The sequence below is a fragment of the Homo sapiens genome, chromosome 1 (assembly GCF_000001405.40).
Source record: "Homo sapiens chromosome 1, GRCh38.p14 Primary Assembly".
In the NCBI taxonomy this organism is placed as follows: Eukaryota; Metazoa; Chordata; class Mammalia; order Primates; family Hominidae; genus Homo; species Homo sapiens.
This window is the reverse complement of record NC_000001.11, coordinates 94908780-94927821: the sequence shown is the minus strand read 5'-3', so window position 1 is coordinate 94927821 and position 19042 is coordinate 94908780. Positions and strand designations below refer to the sequence as shown.

At 45.9% G+C, this 19042-nt stretch overlaps 1 protein-coding gene and 1 long non-coding RNA gene across 7 annotated transcripts in view, besides 6 other annotated features; one reads left to right on the top strand and one right to left on the bottom strand.

Annotated features, from left to right (window-relative positions):
• Positions 1 to 1462, bottom strand: part of CNN3-DT (CNN3 divergent transcript) — a 36911-nt gene extending 35449 nt beyond the window's left edge. For both annotated transcript variants that reach the window (NR_168376.1, NR_168377.1), the window contains exon 1: positions 1082 to 1462. This is a non-coding gene — a long non-coding RNA (CNN3 divergent transcript). The remainder of the gene's footprint in view (positions 1 to 1081) is intronic.
• Positions 195 to 1074: a silencer, noted in NCBI's record as "silent region_1102". NCBI's record gives its function as "represses an Ori minimal core promoter by ATAC-STARR-seq in GM12878 lymphoblastoid cells {active_cell/tissue: GM12878}" and the evidence as "EXISTENCE:reporter gene assay evidence [ECO:0000049][PMID:35858748]".
• CNN3 (calponin 3) overlaps positions 712 to 19042 on the top strand; it is a 30154-nt gene continuing 11823 nt past the window's right edge. For 2 of the 5 annotated variants that reach the window (NM_001286055.2, NM_001839.5), the window contains exon 1: positions 712 to 984. In NM_001286055.2, coding sequence (NP_001272984.1) covers positions 928 to 984 — 57 coding nt within the window. In that variant the 5' untranslated portion in view covers positions 712 to 927. Of the gene's footprint in view, positions 985 to 2052; positions 2190 to 2474; positions 4955 to 5600; positions 16912 to 19042 lie in introns of those variants that run through there. The other 3 variants (XM_047444480.1, XM_047444486.1, NM_001286056.2) reach the window with 3 other exon arrangements.
• Positions 1175 to 1604: a silencer, noted in NCBI's record as "silent region_1101". NCBI's record gives its function as "represses an Ori minimal core promoter by ATAC-STARR-seq in GM12878 lymphoblastoid cells {active_cell/tissue: GM12878}" and the evidence as "EXISTENCE:reporter gene assay evidence [ECO:0000049][PMID:35858748]".
• Positions 7279 to 7779: an enhancer, noted in NCBI's record as "H3K4me1 hESC enhancer chr1:95385599-95386099 (GRCh37/hg19 assembly coordinates)". NCBI's record gives its function as "activates a minimal SCP1, AML or CMV promoter by ChIP-STARR-seq in primed H9 embryonic stem cells {active_cell/tissue: H9 hESC(primed)}" and the evidence as "EXISTENCE:reporter gene assay evidence [ECO:0000049][PMID:30033119]".
• Positions 16064 to 17263: an enhancer, noted in NCBI's record as "BRD4-independent group 4 enhancer chr1:95376115-95377314 (GRCh37/hg19 assembly coordinates)". NCBI's record gives its function as "activates an origin of replication core promoter dependent on BRD2, P300/CBP, MED14 and CDK7 cofactors, and independent of BRD4, by STARR-seq in HCT116 cells {active_cell/tissue: HCT116}" and the evidence as "EXISTENCE:reporter gene assay evidence [ECO:0000049][PMID:35650434]".
• Positions 16064 to 17398: a biological region, named in NCBI's record as "BRD4-independent group 4 enhancer GRCh37_chr1:95376115-95377314".
• Positions 16462 to 17398: an enhancer, noted in NCBI's record as "H3K4me1 hESC enhancer chr1:95375980-95376916 (GRCh37/hg19 assembly coordinates)". NCBI's record gives its function as "activates a minimal SCP1, AML or CMV promoter by ChIP-STARR-seq in naive H9 embryonic stem cells {active_cell/tissue: H9 hESC(naive)}" and the evidence as "EXISTENCE:reporter gene assay evidence [ECO:0000049][PMID:30033119]".

Sequence of the window (19042 nt, the reverse complement as noted above, 5' to 3'; positions counted from 1 at the left end):
TGATGCGAATCCAGAAAAGCACTTGAAATGCCCAGGCTTTGCATGGCACATTCCCCAGGATTTTTTCGCACCGCATTTAGAGGTTTAGACGGAGTGAGCTCGAATCAGGCCAAAAGCCTTAGGTTACTCCTGGGCGGCAGCGGGGCAGAGGTCAGATCAACAGGTGTGGAAGGCTGCGAGGTGAGGGAAGAAGCAGGTGTCGGTGGAGGCCCCAGTTCCTCCGGCCCAGAGGCTCCAACGCTGCTATTGGTGTTCCAGCAGCGGGCGGAGGGGTCCTGCCCGGCATCTGGGCGCGCTGGGCCCAGAGCCCGGGAGGAGGCAGACGGAGGCGGCGGGTCAGCGGCGGGCCAGCCCCGGTGGGCTTCCGCTCCCCTCCGCCGGCCCGGTCCGGCCCGCCGCGGAGGATGCCTGGAGGTTGACGTGAATGGCCTGTGGCTGGGAAGCCCCCAGGCGCCCTGCCTAGCCCGGGGGCGGGGCCGCCTAGCCGCCGGCCCCGGTGGCGTGAGGGCTGGGGCGGGGGCCGGGGACCTCGCGGGGAGGGAGCGGGAGGGAAAGCGGCCCCCGCGGCCCTTCAATTGGCCGCACCGCCCCTCGGCGCAGAGGCGGGAGGAGGCGGCCCTCCATTGGTCGGGCCCGGCGGCCAATCCTCGAAGGCCCAGGCGGAGGCGGGGGCGGCCTGTGGGGAACCGAGGTGCGGGCGGCGAGCGAGGCAGCCGGGTGCTTCGCAGCGGAGCTCGAGGCTCTGTAGCACCCAGTTGGACCCAGTCGCCCAGGCACCGCCCGCGCCCCGCGGCCGTCTCCTGCGCCTCCCAGAGGAGGGAGTTCGAGCATCCCCCGCGGCGGCCACTCCTCGGGGCCAGGAGCGGGGAAGCGAAGTGCGAGAGACCCCGGACCCCAGCGCTGTCTCTTCCCGCCGCCCGAACCACCATGACCCACTTCAACAAGGGCCCTTCCTATGGGCTCTCGGCCGAAGTCAAGAACAAGGTACGCCTGGCTCGGGCGGGCGCGGGGGCCCCCGGGGCACCCTTGGGCTGGCCTGGCGCTGGGCCGTGCTTCGTTTGCTCTTCGCGCTGTGGCTCACCGTTTTCCTGGAGAGGGGCCGTCGAGGCGGCGCGAGCGTCTCTGCCTGTCCCGGTCGCGTCCAGTCCCCGGGCTTGCGGGGCCGGCTCCCGGGCACCCGCCTGGCTTTGTTCCCGCGCCGTGGGACAGGACTAGTGGCTGGCGGTGGGTTCCCGGGCGCCTGGAGTCCCGCGGCGCCAGCCTTTCCGGCTGCGGGGGTCTCGGGGGCCGTTTGGTGACTGCAGAACGCGCCCTCCGGGAAGGGGGCGCTCCTGCGTGGCCACTCGCCCTTAGGCGGAGCCCGTCTGCGCGGCCAGGGACCCGGCGAGCCGCTGCCGCAGCCCCCGCCATCTGCCCGGGCCCCGGGTGCTGGCGGACTCCGCGCCTCCCCACGGGGAGAGAGACCGCCTAATGTCCCGCCGACCCCAGGGGCCCCGAGGAACGGAAGCCGGTCCGGGACCCATCACAGTCTCCGATCTCGGTGCCTGGGAGGCATTTGGAGGCAGATTGCTGCTGCTGCTTCTGCTGTTGCTTTTGCGGGAAATGGAGACAAAGCCTGAGCGCGCCACTGTGCGAGTGATATCTGCTTAGGCTTGAGACTTTTTATGAAACACTGAGAAGTTTGAAGTACATTAGACTTTCACGACATAAAGGATTATTTTTGTGGGTTGCTTTTGTTTGGGGCTTGTTTGCTGAGGCGGCTTATAGTTTGGAGCGATTGGGATTTGGTGACGCTCAGCTTTGCCACTGAGCCCAAGAATGCGTTAGGTTTATCTTTAGGACTTTTGGCCTGGGAAAGAGATGAGAGGCGTCCCCCTCCCCAAATCCTCTCCTTCCTTCCTCCCTCCCTGCATTCCAAGCCCATGACATCAGGGGTTTCTGGGGGGAGAGACCAGCCAATCGGCGCGGAACTGTGCACAGAACGCTCATTGTCTCCTTTCTGCTGTTCTGGCCAAAGCGCCACAAAGGAGGGCTGCCTGTGGTTTAATTCCCATTAACCTCCCGGGAGCCCAAGCATGTCAGGATTGCCACCGCACCGTCCGACCGCTGGTGGAAGGCACTGGCATTGTCAGAGCTGGAACATCCCGGGGCTGCGGGGGTAGGCGGTGTGAAGCGAATTATGTAAAGAGGTAATGAAGCGCACCGTTGTCAAACCCCAAGGGAGAGTTGTGGCTCTTGTCTCCCGCTGTTAGTCTGCACATCATACTGTCTTTGAAGCAAGGAGTTGATTTTAGTCTATGTATCTAAAGTTGAAATGTTTAGGTCCTTTACCTTTTCAAACGTGTTGCCCGTATTAGACAACAGTTTGCTAACAATTTTTTTAGAGAGCAGAAAGGTGAATGGTTTGTGTATGATTGAGTGCAAACCTCACCAACTGAAAAGTTTGTAACAAGTTACTGTTTCCTTCCTTCCAGGATTTACAAACCGAACTTTAGGAAACTTCAGAGGAATGGGCATGTCCAAAATGTTGGATGTGATGTGATACTTTGGCCTGGTTGTGCACATTCATTGTAATTCCCCCCAGTGATTCTTGGCTGGCAGCAGTTGAGTCTCTACTACCTTTTGCATTGTAAATGAGGTACTGATAACGTTGGCAGCCCTTCAAGTGACTTACTTTTCTTGGATGTTAATAATATCCATGCTAATTTCTTTTTTGCTGACTAATGTAGCAGCTTTTGCCCTTTTCCTGCTTAATACTGAGCAGATCCAAGGAAATGCATACACAGGCTAGATCACTGTAATTATTGTAAATATTTAAAAACGGTAAAACCTCAGTTTTTAGAACCTTTGGAAAGTTAGTTATGAAAGCTGTGGATTTATCCCTTTAAGCACCAAACCCATTTTTTAATAACCCGTTTCATTTTTGTAGTCCTTTCAGACAGTATTCTTTCATAGGAAGTCTTTTGATCTTAACAGCAGAGCAGTCCTGTAAGGTGAGGAGGATTGCTGGGATTATCCAACATCATTTACAGATCAGTACACTGAAGCTCAGAAAGATTTGCTCAAGGTCACAGAAGTTGGACTATTCTAAGAATTTTAACTCTAAAAGCGATGTCTTAGTTGAGTGAAGTACTTAGGGATGTTCTACACAAACTCTGCTGTCTGTCGCCTTCCCCCCATTTTTTTTTCTTTCTTTTTTGAGACGGAGTCTTGCTCTGTCGCCCAGGCTGGAGTGCAGTGGCGCGATCTCAGCTCACTGCAACCTTCGCCTCCCAGGTTCAAGTGATTCTCCTGCCTCAGCGCCCCGAGTAGCTGGGATTACAGGTGCCTGCCACCATGCCCGGCTAATGTTTGTATTATTTAGTAGAGACAGGGTTTTGCCATGTTGGCCAGGCTGGTCTCCAACTCCTGACCTCAGGTGATTCCCCCTGCCTTGGCCTTCCAAAATGCTGGGATTACAGGCGTGAGCCATGGCGCCCAGCCCTTCCTCCCATTTTTGCTACCCACCTGTCACTTCTTGACATTGTGATTATTTATGTCATACTGTTTCTGATCTGTTCTGGGCCTGGGAATCAAATAGCCATGTTTGCTAGGCCTTTGTATGAGATGCTGCATTTTGACTGAGGCCTCAGGACTCCCGGGTGAAAGGTGGGTATATACAAAAGTGACATTGCGTGGTTTGACACCTTTTGATTCCTTCCTGCTTTTTCTTTATTGCATAATTGATACATTGCTTGAATGCTAGATTCCCCCCATCTACCCCCACATCTCATTTAACAAAGAAGTATAGAAACATCCTGGGGAGACAGTGTGGAGTGGACCTGGGAGTCTAGCATATGTGAGTTCTAGTCCCCGTTCTGCCACTTCCTGCCTTCTGTGATGCTGGGCTAGCTACTTGACATCTCTCTCCTAGCTTCTGTTCTGTAGAATGGGGGAAAACAATAGTTGCCACCCCCAGACACCATGTTGTGGAGATGTGTCTGGCTTATACTCAACTCAGTGACTGTATTGTAGCTATTAGCTCTTAGTAACAGAAAATTAGTTTTTAGTATTATATTTCTAAGATTTGTATGTCCCTGCCTCTTTAAGTATTTGGTTTGTATTAATACCTTTTGGTCTTGTTATATAATATTCTAGCTGTAAAAGCATTTCATCAATGAATTGAGGAAGTCTCTGATTTTAAATACTTTAATCAGTAAAATTTCAGAGAAAAATCTTTAAGACATTTGATTGGTAAGATGATAATACATGGCAGAACACACAAGCTTACTTTTTTTAATAGGCAAGAAGATGTGTGAAAACAGCCTTAAAAAAAAAAAGCCTAAGAATTCCAGTCTTTCAGCCTGGAATATGAACAAAGTTTCTTTAATAACAAAGAAAAAAATGACACCAAATGATCAATAACTTAGAGTTTACAAAAACTATCAGAGAGTAAAAGGGCCAGGGAAAATGCAGACACTGGTAGGGATGGTTCGGTGGAGGATGGAAACACTCATAAAATAATGGGCCCTACAGGTATTCTACAGGTTGAACCAGGCCCTTGAATGCATCTTGGGAACCAAAATGAAAAGTGAAACAACTCTGTGCCTCGTAAACCATGAAAAAACATAACAGGTACTCAAGGGAAGCACAGTATTTCCTGGCAAAATGTTGGAGTTGGGGGTAGTTTCCCGTAAAGTTGGATGGGAAGAGAGGACGCAGTGAAGCATGTCTTCATCAGGTTTAGAGCAAATGCCGCAGGAACCTTTCTTACAGGTCTCAGGGAAAGTGGAAAAAATAAATTGACAAATGGGGAGCTGAAATAATCTTACCTCGGTATGTTTTTTTGGGAGGAAGCTAACTGGAATATTAAGAAGCATGGAATTGGAATGCACATTCTTCCAGTCTTCTGCCCCCTTGGAATGTCTGATTTGAGCAAAGCAGCTTCCCACGGGATCTTCTTGATTACAAAATGGTATTTCTCAACACCTAAAAACCTTCTTGAAAGGCTTATTACCAAAATCTTTGGTTGTTGAAGTTAAACAATCATACAGTAATAATTAGATAGGACCAGTGTCCGCGAAGTCCTCCTAGCTTGTTTGCCGGGTGCGCTTTAGACGCACAGCTGCTCTGAGGGTACTTCTGATCAGAGTAACCCAGGGTGACCCAGCTATAAATTACACTCGAGGGTGGTTTGCCTTGTCTTGCTGGTAGAGCACCAGAATCTTGGTAAAAATGTGTTGGTGGGCTTAGCTTTTTTCTTTTTAAACTTGGAAGTTCAGAAATTGGTTTTTAATTAAAATCTTTTTTTGTTTGCTTATTATCTGTCTCTTCCCACCAGAGATAAAGCTCTCTTATTCGCGGGTGTGTCTCAAGATCGATATTTTACAATATAGTTTAGCACATAGCATATGCTCAATAAATATTTGAATATTTGTTGATTTAATGAATTTATTCATCGGGAATAGATTTTGCTATCTCTAGACATAAGAAGTTAGAAATTAACTCTGTAGTCTAAATAAGATAATTCTGTAGTGCAAGTGTGATGATTTTGAAGGATGTGGTTAAAAAGAAAATATTCTAAAAAATATTTTATTTTTTGATCTCGCTATGTTGCCCAGGTTGGTCTTGAACTTCTGGCCTCAAGTGATCCTACTGCCTTGGCCTGTTAAAGCACTGGGATTACAGGTGTGAGCCACCATTCCTAGCCTTGTTTTTCTTAAGTAGTTAAATAGTTAATATTATGTTGAAATTTTTCATCTTTGCTGCTGATTTTGGGATTATTTCTTAAGATAGATATTTTGACTGGGCTCTTTCTTAGACTTCCAAGTTAGGAATGGTAGAGGTGTCCTCTGCAAGGATTTGTCCAGTGCCTGCATTTTCCTGAATACTGCTGGAGAAGGGGCCATTCAGCCAGGGACTTTGCTCCTGGTAGGAACCAGCTATTGCTGTTGGTCTGCTTTAGTTTTTGTTTTCCTGTCTTGACCAAAACAGATAAATAAGATACACTTTGCTGAAGTGACAAGAGATACCATGCTTCCTCTTTAAAATTCTCATCCTTATTTACTCTGGAGTTTTAACGAGGATTATCGTCAGGCTCACTGATTTTTTACAGTCTAACATTTGTGGAAATTGTTCTGTCTCTAGACAGTCCTTTAGATTTCAGAAACAATCTTGACAATGATGACATCGCTAATACCCACCATCAACAGAGGTATAGGCTTTTTTTTTCCCCAGTGCCTGTTTCCCTTCCAGGTTGGGACATGAGGGTTAGTGTTTCCTGCCTCCTTTCCCTCTTTAACAGTGTATCCTTAAAGTCATAATGAATCTGATCTGCGGCATAAAAAAAGTAAGCACAATTGGATCGTTTTGGTTTTTCACCCATCATTAGCATTGTATTCAGGAGAGTGAGGAAATGCATTTTCTTCTCTCTCTTTTTTATTTTTTTGAGATGGAGTCTCCCTCTGTTGCCCAGGCTGGAGTGAGGTCGTACGATCTCGGCTCACTGCAACCTCCACCTCCCAGGTTCAAGCAATTCTCCTGGCTTAGCCTCCCGAGTAGCTGGAATTACAGGCACCTGCCACCACATCTGACTAATTTTTGTATTCTTAGTAGAGTTGGAGTTTCACCATGTTGGCCAGGCTGGTCTCAAACGCCTGACCTCAAGTGATAACACCTGCCTTGGCCTCCCAAAGAGCTGGGATTACAGGTGTGAGCAACTGTGCCCAGCCCTGCATTTTCTTTCTCAGTGAAACTAGGTGGTGGTTGGAGAAAGCTTGTCCTTAGAATTTGTTGGCAAGTTCCATTTAAATCTAGGCATTACCCTCCTGTAGCATATACCATGTGCATTGGCTCTCCTTAACTCTGAACTTATTTTATAGCCCAAATGGGCTCTTAACTTATTTATGTGTACTTGTACCCTCAGATTTTTGTTAAGGATTCTTGGAACTCATAGGTAGATCCAGGTTGTTTGTGGGGACGAAGTTTATACAATTTGGGGGTCCTCATTATGAAAAATATATAAATATCTTTTAAGTTTTACAAAAACCTATGGCCATGTGAACCCTTTTGAACTTGAAGACTTCTCCATACCTGTCATACAAGGTTCTTGTCAGGGAAAGTAGAGCTTAGTGGTTAAGAACATGGACTGTGGGAACTGGGTTGGATTCCTGGTTCTGCATCTTACTGTGAACTTTGGCAAGTGACTTAACCTGCCTGTCTTGTATGTAAAATGAGGATATCATAACACTCATCTTTATAGGGTTGTTGGGAGAAATCAGATAGATAATCCATGTAAAGTGTTTAGAATAATGCCTGGAATCAAAAGCCCACATTATATAAATTTTAGCCATGGTTTCATTTTGCTGACTGGTTCTCTGCTAATTAGGCTCAGTCTTGTGTTCTGAGCTGCTTTTTCTCTTCTGGATGTTGATATTATCTCTAGAACTTTAATATTCATTCACGAATCTGTTTGTATCTGCCTGAGATTTCTGGTGGATAGGGGACATGACACCAAGCAGTACTACTGTGTTTCATTTCTGTGTCAGGAATGTGATCTGCCCCAGAGTCCTTATCCAGGACTCCACCACCAGGCAGCGTGTGAGGCATTTCCACAGTGAAAGCACCAGGTCTGTAGATCTGCACCATTCTGTCCACATTGCCCTTAGGGCTGAGGACTTCTCTGTAGAGCTAGAGGTCTTGCTTACCGGGCTTGGTTGTATTCTGCTTTTTCTAACAGGTTGATTCCTTTTAAATAAGATATATCTTTCCTTTCTTGGTTTCAGATAGGGCTTGTATTCCTCCACAGCTAGCTGGTTAACATATTTTCCTTCAAGTGTTTGAATTTGGCTTGCTTGAATCTGGAGGCTTTGAGTTTATGTGTTCTTATGAAGTCTCTACCTAGACCTGTGTGAAGCAAGTCCTTGAGTGGAGAAGACTAATGCTTAGTTTTCCCCCACAAGGTAGGGAGGGACCAGGAAGCTTCAGGGTGTGGGCGTGACTGTTGAGTGCTGTGTCTGCGGTGGGAAGGCCAGGGAATTGGAGGCATGAATGCAGAGAAAAGAGGAGGCCTTTTGTGCTTGGAAGGACTCTTCTGGGTCAGTTGTAACCTAAGCATTTATGGTTATTTCCCCTCTGCTGGATAATTTTCCAGGGAACTCTAGCTGTGGAGTGGCCACACTGGGCGGGCTATGGCTTCATTGCTTCTTCCCGCCTCCACTCCCAAATGTTTGGACACTGATCTTTCTCCATTATCTGCAGCTTCTCACCCTTAATGTTACCCAGGCTCTGTGAATGGATAGAGTGTGCTTCATTAGTGCACAATTTCCTGGTCTCCTTTTGTTTCTTGTGGGAGGAAATAGGAGAGAAAACAATCAATACCATGTGTAGCAAGTCTCTGTCCTGCTGTTGGTTAATTCAAACATGTGATTCCACTTTGAATGCAAAAATAGCAACAGCAATCATATTCTGCTTCTAATTGAGTGTAGAAATTATATGTACATTAGGCATCATCTTGTGAGCTTGCTGTGGTCTTTGGGCCTTAGCAGCTGAGCTGGAACCCTAGGGCTGCTCTTTAGAGTCCACCTATGGCTAGATGCCTTCCCCTGAATGGTTCCATTCTCTACTCTGAATACTGGGGTGGATTTTCCTTATCTTTCTTCAAAGAATTGGATGTTGTATTTTTTAAAAACCCCATCCCTACCTCTCCTTGCTTACATACAGACGCATTATTTGCCAGCCAGATTTTCATTTCAAGGTTTATTCATCTCTGAGCTTCCCCCCCTTCTTTTTCTTCTTTAGTGACACCCTTTCCTGCAGTTGGTCTTACATCACCTTCAAAAAACATGCATGTGGCAGGAGGTTGGTCTTCATATGGGCCAGTGGGAGAGTTAAAGTGTTTTTAGTCTGAAACAGCTCTGCCAAATATCTTATGAACTTTTTTTTTTTTTTTTTGAGACAGTCTTGCTCTGTCACCTGGGCTGGAGTACAGTGGCACGATCTTGGCTCACTGCAACTCTACCTCCTGGGTTCAAGCAATTCTCACACCTCAGCCTCCTGAGAAGCTGGGATTACAGTCGCGCACCACCATGCCCAGCTAATTTTTGTATTTTTTGTAGAGATGGGGTTTTACCATGTTGGCCAGGATGGTTTTGAACTCCTGACCTTAAGTGATCCACCCGTCTCAGCTTCCCAAAGTGTTGGGATTACAGGTGTGAGCCACCGCACCCAGCCTTATGAACTTTTGAACTGTGCTGGCAATGCGCTTTGGAACTAAGGATTCCTATGGGCTTGTTTAAATCAATTCCTCCCACCCCTTGCCGACTTTTTTTTTTTTTATTTTATTTTTTTTGGGAGACAGTCTCACTTTGTCGCCCAGGCTGGAATACCGTGGTGTGATCTCGGCTCGTTGTAACCTCTGCCTCTCGGGTTCGAGTGATTCTCCTGCCTCAGCCTCCTGAATAGCTGGGACTACAGGCCTATGCCACCATGTCTGGCTAATTTTTTGTATTTTTAGTACAGTCGGGGTTTCACTATGTTGGCCAGGCTGGTCTTGAACTTCTGACCTCAGGTGATCTGTCTGCCTCAGCCTCCCAAAATGCTGGGATTACAGGCATGAGCCACTGTGCCCGGCCCAATTAGTCCTTTCTACAACTGGGCAATATATTCATGTGCATTAGTCTGATACGATGATATTGGTGGTGGGTACATTTGGATATATTGTCACATCTCCATGAGTTAAAAGGACTTTATGTTAAGCCAGAGTCTAAGCATCTTCAGGCAGATAGCATAGTTGCCTGTGCTAAGACTGTGTATAGTACAGAGAGTTCCTGTCTCTCAGCTTTGTTGTAGAGTAGGGATAGGGGAGCATCCAATGATGGAAAAGACTTAGACTTGGAGTCAGATCTGGGTCCGAATCCCTGCTGAGCCCACAACCTTTGGACAAGTCATCTCTGCATGAAGACAGTACATCTACCTCAGGGTGCCATCTTCCTTGCTTATGAGAACCACTTCTCTTTATGCCAACAGTTCCAAAATAGAAAAGTAAATAAGTGAAAGTATCCTGTATACCTTACTCCTACCCTAAGTGCTTGTACTGCTTTGAATATTGTTCAACCATTTTGAAAACTGAATTATAGTCTGTTGTATGGATTTCCACTGATTATTCACTGCTTCCCTGCTGGTGGATATTTCCTTTAAAAGTACTTGTGTAGAAAAGTGTGTAACTTTTGACATAACATTTAAATGTATTTTGATATTGCCAAATTGCTCTCCAAAAAAATTAGTTCCTACCAATGGTAAGAAAGAGGAGGAGGATCTTTTGATGTTAAAAAAAGAAAAAAGTAACTTGTTTTAGTTTCTTTATTACCAAGTCATGAGTCATTGACATCTGTAATCCCTACTCCATCCCTCGTCCCCAGCAGACTCAGGTGGGAATTGACAGTGGGCTGGGATGAGGGCGTTTTTTCCACAAATTATTTGATAATAGTTTTTTAAACAGGAAGCTTGGCCAGGCACAGTGGCTCACGCCTGTAATCCTAACACTTTTTGGGATGCTGAGGTGGGCGGATCAACTGAGGTCGGGAGTTCGAGACCAGCCTGACCAACATGGAGAAAACCCATCTCTACTAAAAATACAAAATTAGCCAGGCATGGTGGCGCATGCCTGTAATCCCAGCTCCTCAGGAGACTGAGGCAGGAGAATCACTTGAACCTGGGAGGCAGAGGCTGCGGTGAGCCAAGATCGCGCCATTGCAATCCAGCCTGTGCAACAAGAGCGAAATTCCATCTCAAAAACAAACAAACAAACAAAAAATCCAGGAAGCTTTAGGTAGCTTTAAAATGATATCTTATCAAAATGGCTATCAAATCATGTCAAGTAAGTGGTTTTTAATGATATATTGAATTCAAAGGAAGAAATCTTTCCAGTATCTTGATTGGAATGGCCAGCAAAGCATAGATGGAAGGATAAGTGTTGACATTTATTGAGTTCTTACAACTTATGTGAATTAACTCATTGATTCTTCCCAGTAACCTTCTGATGTAAGTGCTGTTAATGATCTCTGGTTGGCAGGGAAGAAAACTGAAGCAGAGGAAACTTTGTGCATGGTGGAAATGGGCTTCTAATTCAAGCATTCAGTTTCCAGAGCCCTTGCTCCTAACCATTTTAATCTGAGGCCAGAGCTCAGGGAGAATTGACATCTTTCAAGACGAGAGGGTACTGAGTCCAGAGAGGGCAGACCAGAGCAAGAAATCCCAGGATAAAGTCCTTTAACAAGAAGCTGGAGGAGGAGAGATTAGAGGGCCCTCCTGGAAAATACTAGGTGCTACAGAGAGGCCCAGAGGATGACTGGAGACAGGCCACTGGATTTGGCTACTGAGAAGTCACTGATGACCTGTTTTGTTTGAGACAGGATCGTCCTCTGTTCCCCACTCCCTGCAATCCCCCTCCCCTGTTTCCCCCCAGGCTGGAGTGCAGTGGCATGATCTTGGCTCACTGCAGCCTTGACCTCCTGGGCTCAAGCAATCCTCCTGCCTCAGCCTCCCGAGTAGCTGGGACTACAGGTGTGCACCACCATGCCTGGCTAATTTTTTGTATTTTTCGTAGAGACAGGGTTTTACCGTGTTGCCCAGGCTGCACTGGTGACCTTTTGAGAGATCGTCGGTAGAGCAAATTTCCAGGGGTTAGGAGAGAGTACTAAGGGAGGAAATGGGCAGGCTTGGCATGAAATAAATGACAAACAGGACAGTGTATGAGGCTGGCAGCAGGTTCAATTAAAAATTTGCCATTTCAGGGAAGACAGGGTAGCCTGTGCCCATTGATGGACCAAGTAAAGGCAACAGCCCAAAACAGATGGTGTGTGGGGGCAAAGCAGAAGGGCAGGAGGGTCAGTGGGAAGAGAAGGGGCCCAGCTCAGAAGGGGAAGGGAAGAGGACCATGAAAACGCAGCACTGATGTGGAGAAGTCCTCTTTTCATCTGAAATAGGGGTGTCACTTTGCTCCTGACCTTATTATGCTAGAGCCACTGATGTCCGATGGGGAAGAGAGCAGGAATAGGAAGAGATGGCCCAGGCTAAGCCCTCCCTGTGAGCGCACTGCTGATTGGGCTGCCCCTTTGGAGCTTGGGCACTGGTTCACTCTCCTCTTTCCATTGGCCCTTGATCTGGAAGGGATGGGAAGTTGGGTTTATTTTGTTAGAGCCTGGTTGTCTGTAGCAAGCCTTTACTGTATTATCTCCAAGAGACCTTTGTGTTGGGGCATAGCACTCTGATGGAAGATGTAATGCTTTCAGGGTAACTTATTTTCTCCCTCATCCATGCTCTCAGATTGCATTACAATTATGTAAAATATGGAGTTCACCTTTACTGTCGATGTGGAGGGTCCCCTGTGACTTCATCATAAGATCCTTGCAGACTTCGGGACTGGAAAGGGGAAACCATGTTCAGGCTGACTTTCTTTTAGAGGAACTCTGAATCTTGTAGTTGATTATGTCCCTCTTTGTCTTGGTGTTTAAGAAGCTTGGACTTCAGTTTGCATCCAGCCTATCTTTGGGTGGCATTTGTGTAGGATTTGGTGGCATGCAGGTGTTTGAGCCTTGCCTCTGACTTCATCTTTTTTTCACACATCCTCATTAAAAGCAAAATGAACCTAATGGCTTTTTACTTAGGGTCTCAGAAAGTACAAAATACCTTTGTATGGTATTTCATAAGGCACAGTATGAATATTTTTAAAAGGAGGAAATGGGACCAGCCTAGGCAACACAGGGAGACCCCATCTCTACAAAACATTTTTAAAAAGGTAGCTGTAGTGGCACATGCCTATAGTCCTAGCTACTCAGGAGGCTGAGGTGGGAGGATCGCTTGAGCCTGGGAGGTTGAGGCTTCAGTGAGCTATGATCATGCCACTGCACTCCAGCCTGGGTGACAGAGCAAGACTGTCTTGAAAAAAAAAAGAGAGAAAATGGGAAATTCTATCCTACTTTGTAATGGAAATGTCATATTTTCTCATTTTCATTGGGGAAAAAATGGTGCTCTTTTGCACAGTTAACATATCTGTAAGATTCCATCAGCATCTATCCCATGTTTAAAATTCGATTTCCTCTCTGTTCATAGCTGGTTGTGTAAAGCCACCTTTCTCAAATGGACAGACTCCATTGTAGTAAGCAAAAAAGCATTTGCAATCTGAGATCTAGACCTGGATCTAGACTCCAAGAGGAGTTCCAGATTTACTAAGGCTGACCCAAAGGGCTGAGATCCCATTTCTCCTTGGCCCACTTTCATGCCTTGTCCCAATAATAACCTTCAGTAAAGGAGCCGCGTGGTGTTTCGACTCAGTTTTGGGGTTGGCAGATGGGAGCATGGGGATGCGGGTGGTCAGTGATCTGTGAGATGAGGGTTCCCCAGGCTGGTTGAGACAAGTTCCTTCAGAACAATACAGCGAACTTTTGGGACAATGACGTTGAGGTGGATTTCATGCCTTCCTTGAGTCACAGTAGACTGAGGCTTGTCCTATGGAGCGGGCTTGCTGAAGAGTTGATGAGGAGTGAGTGTACATTCTGAAACTACAGAAAAGTTGCAAACAGGTCATGTGCCTTGTCGTTATGGAAAGATAAATGACAGTTCTTCAGTGTTACCCATGCTCCTGACTCAAGGGTTATTTTGGAGGCACCTAGAGGTCCTGCTGAAGAGACAGTGCTTGACAATCTGGAGAGTGGCAAAGAGCTGATACCTACAAATGCGGGAATGAGTTTGTTAGACTCTTAAATATTCTAGTGGTGAGACAAAGAAAACAAAAACTTGAGGAACATCTCTATTTTCACCTCTTTTTACCTGTGGGGCTTCAGCTAAGATCTCCTTTCAGCAAAATCTCTACAGATCTCTAAAATTCAAGACCCGGCTGGCCTTCTTCCCAGTGAGAGAATGTTCTCCAACAAGCTTTCTTGGAGGTCATCTCTTCCTGCCTGTGCTTCATTGGCACTCAAAACATGATATTTTTCCATGCCTGTTTGCTTCTAGTCCATCTCTCAGGAATTTCTCCATATATTTCCCTGGCCTGTCCTCTGTGTGTCACTCAGAATAAATCAACTCTCTCTTCTATATGACTTCCATCTAAATATTTAGATGGGAGCTAACCTGCCTCTCCTAAACTTCCAGGTCATATGTAGCCACTCCTGGCTAGCCAGTTTCTCATAATAGGCTATATATGGTTTTTCTAATCCCTTCCCCACCTAGTTTACTCCTTCTAGAAACTGATGTCAGCTTATCAGTGTCCCTTCAGAATGCATCACTCAGAATTGATCATAGTATTGCCACAGATGTGGTTTAACCTACCAGAGTACACTGGGATTGGTAACTGACTTCCTTTGATTACAAAGCTTTAGCTCCTCCTGTTTTAACCAACAGAATCACTTGGCCAGGTAGACAAGGTAACTCTGTGTAGAAGAAGGATTCTAATCCTTGCTTTGTCAAATTGACTTCTCCAGTCTATAAAGTATGGTGATGATCACTCTGGGAGGTTTTATGGCTCACATGAACTCCATGCGCACCCGTTTCTTATAAATAATGCTTTCCTTGGTTACCTCATGGGGCTGTTTTGATTTAAACAAATAAGCAATACTATTTTATGAAGAATTGTATAACTATGCAGACCAAGATAGTGTTGGCTTTTTAACTTACTCAACTCACTGAGTAAGTGTTACTAGTTCTAAAACTTTGGGGCAGGATTTGACATATATTTTGAATAAACTGTGTATTAACGTAAGAAAGATCCTTCTGATTCCCAGTTTCCTTAATAAGTATGCCAAGTAGTTTCCAAGTCATTAATGACCAAAACAGAAGAGAACACATCTAAATCCAAACATTGAGGTACACATCACCACGAGTTTCCTCTGCCATGACATAATCAGCACAGTGGGCATGGTGTTCCTTCTGACTGTACCCTCCTTCTAGGGTTACTAAACTGGACTTCAGGAGTGCGCTAGACATAAGGAACTTTTATGAGAAAGTAATGCAATTATATCCCTAGTGGGCCATCTAAGATTACCAGATTGGCAGATCAAGGAGATGTGACGCCCATAAAAGGCAGTGACATTCAAATGCAGATGCCTTTCCGAAACAAGATAGATCTTTAAATCTGAGGCATTTCCCTAGGCTGGTAATCCTGTCAGTGGGTGAAAAATCATGGATTGAGTGCCCACTATGTATCAGGCATGGGCATGAGGATTACTAAGATGAACAGGAGCCTGACCTCCCCTCAAGGAGGGGACATGGGCAGGTGTTCTTGGACATGCCTTGTGTGTCCATGCAGCCTTGGTGATGGCTGCCCTTCTCCCTGAGTGCTTGCTTGCACACTCTCTCCCCAAGAGTCCACTCTAGGAGGGCGCCTGCCGGGCTCTTCAGCCAGTAATAGATCCTTGCCCTCTGGGTGGGGATGGAGTGGGAGCAGGCTTCTCTCTAGGTTCTAGTTACTACCGTTTGCCAAGGCTTCTCTCACAGTGAGCTGCTTGATACCCACTTTTTTGTTACTTGTTATTTCTGAGTCTAGATTCTTCTGGGAATCCAGTGTCTATACTTGTTCGCTCCTTGTTTAGATTTGAACTTTCAAAAATCCACTATAAACTATATGTGTTCTAAGCTTTGCAGTCTAAAGGTCATTTTCTAGACAGAGAAGACAAAATTGACATTCTGTTAGCTCTGCATCTTTCTACCGTTTGTTATACTCTTTGCTTTAGGCACTGGACCAGCTCCTCTTTAATCATATATATAAAATTTTTTTTTTTGAGATGGAATTTCACTCTTGTTGCCCAAGCTGGAGTGCAATGGCATGATCTTGGCTCACTGCAACCTCCGCCTCCCAGGCTCAAGCGATTCTCCTGCCTCAGTAGCTGGGATTACAGGCGCTACAGATGTGTGCCACCACGCCCAGCTAATTTTTTTGTAGTAGAAACAGGGTTTCACCATGTTAGCGAAGTTGAGCTCAAACTCCTGACCTCAGGTGATCCATCTGCCTCGGCCTCCCAAAGTGCTGGGATTACTACAGGCATGAGCCACTGTGCCTGGCTTATTTATATTTTTTTTGAGACAGGGTCTCCCTCTGTTACTCAGGCTGGAGTGTAGTAGCACAGTCTCTGCTCACTGCAGCCTTGACCTCCCAGGCTCAAGTGATCCTCCCACCTCAGCCTCCCAAGTTGCTGGAACCACAGGTGTGTGCCATCATGCCCAGCTAATTTTTGTGGGTTTTGTAGAGACAGGGTCTCACTATGTTGCCCAGGCTAGTCTCAAAGGACTCAAGTGATCCTCCAGTGTTGGCCTCCCAAATTGCTGGTGTGAGCCACTGCACCCGTCCTAGTAATTTTTGAAGCTTTAATTTCTTGTCAGTCTCACAATATTTGTATATTGAGTCATAATGTTTTTGTATTTACCTGATTATAGACATTTGGAGGGGAAAAATTTGTGCTGGTTGGTGCCATATGCTGATACCTTGATCTGAAGACACAGTTGTACCTCTGAGAGGAGGACCTGGCTTTAAAATGCTCCTGGACTTTACTTCTGTTTACCTGAGGCGAGCATGATTTTCCACAGCTTTTAAATGTCTAGTTCCTCCGCATCAAATCTTTAGCACGTTCGTGCCATGGAATGAGTCTTAGATTCTGTGGTGACCTCAAGAAAAGCATGCATTCTATCTTGACATCACTGTCCCAAATGTAAAATGTTTTTCTCTAGAATTCCCACTCCCACCCCCCATAAGATACATGCCTGATTTTGTAAAATAGTTCCTTTGTCCTTTTTGTCAGCAACAATCTGAAAAAGAATAAGAATTCGGGATGCAAACACATTCTAAGCAGAGAGAAGAGCTTTAGCAAAGACAGAGAGGCAGGAACCAGCCTCAGGAAGAGTGGTAAAGGGAGTGGACAGTGGTGAAGGCTGGCATCCCAGGTGAGCCTGTCTGCAGTGGGGTTTTCTTTGCTATTGCAAACAATGGATTGAACAAGTTGCAGTGGGGTTTGGTTAATAGAATGCTCTGTACCTGGAGCTGATAAAATTGGAGGGCGTGCATGCTGTTGTGTGTCAGGTATTGCGGTGGGTTCCATTCCTATTGAACAGGCTTCATCCTCACAGTGGCCCTGGAAGGAAGGAGTCTACCCACAAGAAATGGGGTGACCTGGGTTCAGTTACTTGCCAAGGTCACACTGGAACTTGGGAACACAGGGTTTTGAAGTTTGACTTGAAAGCGTGTGATCTTCAGTAAATGTTTATAGGATTCATTGCGGAGAGACAGGGTAGATGAAAATGTTGAAACCTGTTCATTGTCCTTGCATGAGATACCAAGAATAGCAAGTGATAGTGAGAAGGAAGGAGAGGAGGAATCTTGATACTTGAGATGGAAATCTATTTGGTTCCTATTTTGGGACCATGTTAGCCCCCATTGTTCTCTCTTTATTTTAAACACCCTATTTTATATATATTTTTGTGAACTCTTTAATACACCGTATTTAATATTTGTCTCTTTCTGCTAGAATGTAAGCTTTTAGGACAGAGACTTTGCCTTTGAACTGTGCCTGATATGAACTAGCCATTTAGATGAAGGACAGAAAGAAGGATTAATGGAGAAAGAAGATGAAAGAAGAATCTAAGGAACACACGGAACACTTGAAAAACAGAAGCTAATGTTGAATACGAGTTTACTTAGAGAGTTTGGAGTAATGCAGGATTATCCTGGTGGCTCAAAACGGGGAGCCACAGCTGAAATTAGGGAGACTGTTGTAATCACTGGGGACAATAACCAGGAATTGTCTGCTTCCAGGTTTGAACAAGCTCTGTGATGATAATACATTGTGAGAAGGAATCCATGTGAAAAACAAGCAGTCTTCATTCTTCAGTAGATTCTGGAATGTCCTGGGTGTAATGGGGGCATCAGACAGTTCTTGTACATGAATGTCATCACTCTACCTCATGGCAGATGTGCCCCCATCTTTTTTTCAAATGGTACTTGAGCTGAATGCTCTCGGCGTACACCGAGAAGTACCATTCAACAGCGCAGGAATCGAGCTTTTGGGTCAGCTGTGGAGGTGCTTTTTGAAGCTAGGTCTCCCTTTACTCTTTCTCCCTTTCTGAGGGTTCTTAGGGGGAAGCTTCTCAAATTTCAGAGCCAGGGAGGGGCATGGCTGTTTCCCAGCAGCTGGTAGGCTTGTATCTGCTCTAGTGTCTGCCTTCACTGTTAGGACACATAGGCCCTCGGGGTTGTGTTTCTGAAGGTGGTCTTAGTCCAGAGCTCTTGGATATATGATTAATAGTGATATGTGATATGTGTGCCTGTGGGCTGGAAGAATAATTGGCTGAAGGATAGGCCCTTCCCTCTGGGAATGGAGTGTGATTTGTGGGGGGAGAGACTTGTACATTTTAGTGTTATCTCAGTGTTTCTTAACCTTGTTTTCATGATCACCTTCTCCAAGAGTTGTTTTAGACATTGTTCCTAGTTACCTCCTATCCCTTGCTAGATTTAGTACAAAGGAATAAGATTTTGTTGGGTAGAGTTGAGCTTTGGAGGGTCCCAAGTTTTTGTATTGTCTTAAGATTTTTTTCACCATTGGTAGAAACCACCACAAGAAACACTTTTCACCTCTTTGGGACACCACCACCCCTGTTGAGAATGCATGCGCTACATACTTGTATATCATTTATTTGTTTATTTTTGTTTTAAAGACAGAGTCTCACTTTGCCACCCAGGCTGTAGTGCAGTGACATGATTATCAGTCACTGCAACCTGGAACTCCTGGCTTCAAGCAATCCTCCTGCCTTGGCCTCCCAAAGTGCTAGGATTACAGGCATGAGCCACCCACCTGGCCTATTTTTTTTTTTTTTTTTTTAAAGAGACGGGCTCCCTATATTGCCCTGGCTGGTCTCGAACTCCTGGGCTCAAGGATTCCTCCTGCCTCAGCCTCCCAAAGTTGCAGGATTACAGGCCTGAGCCACCATGCCTGGCCCAGCCTAATTTTTTTAAAAAAATTATTATTTTGGAATTGGCTGGGCGTAATCCCAGCACTTTGGGAGGCTGAGGTGGGCGGAT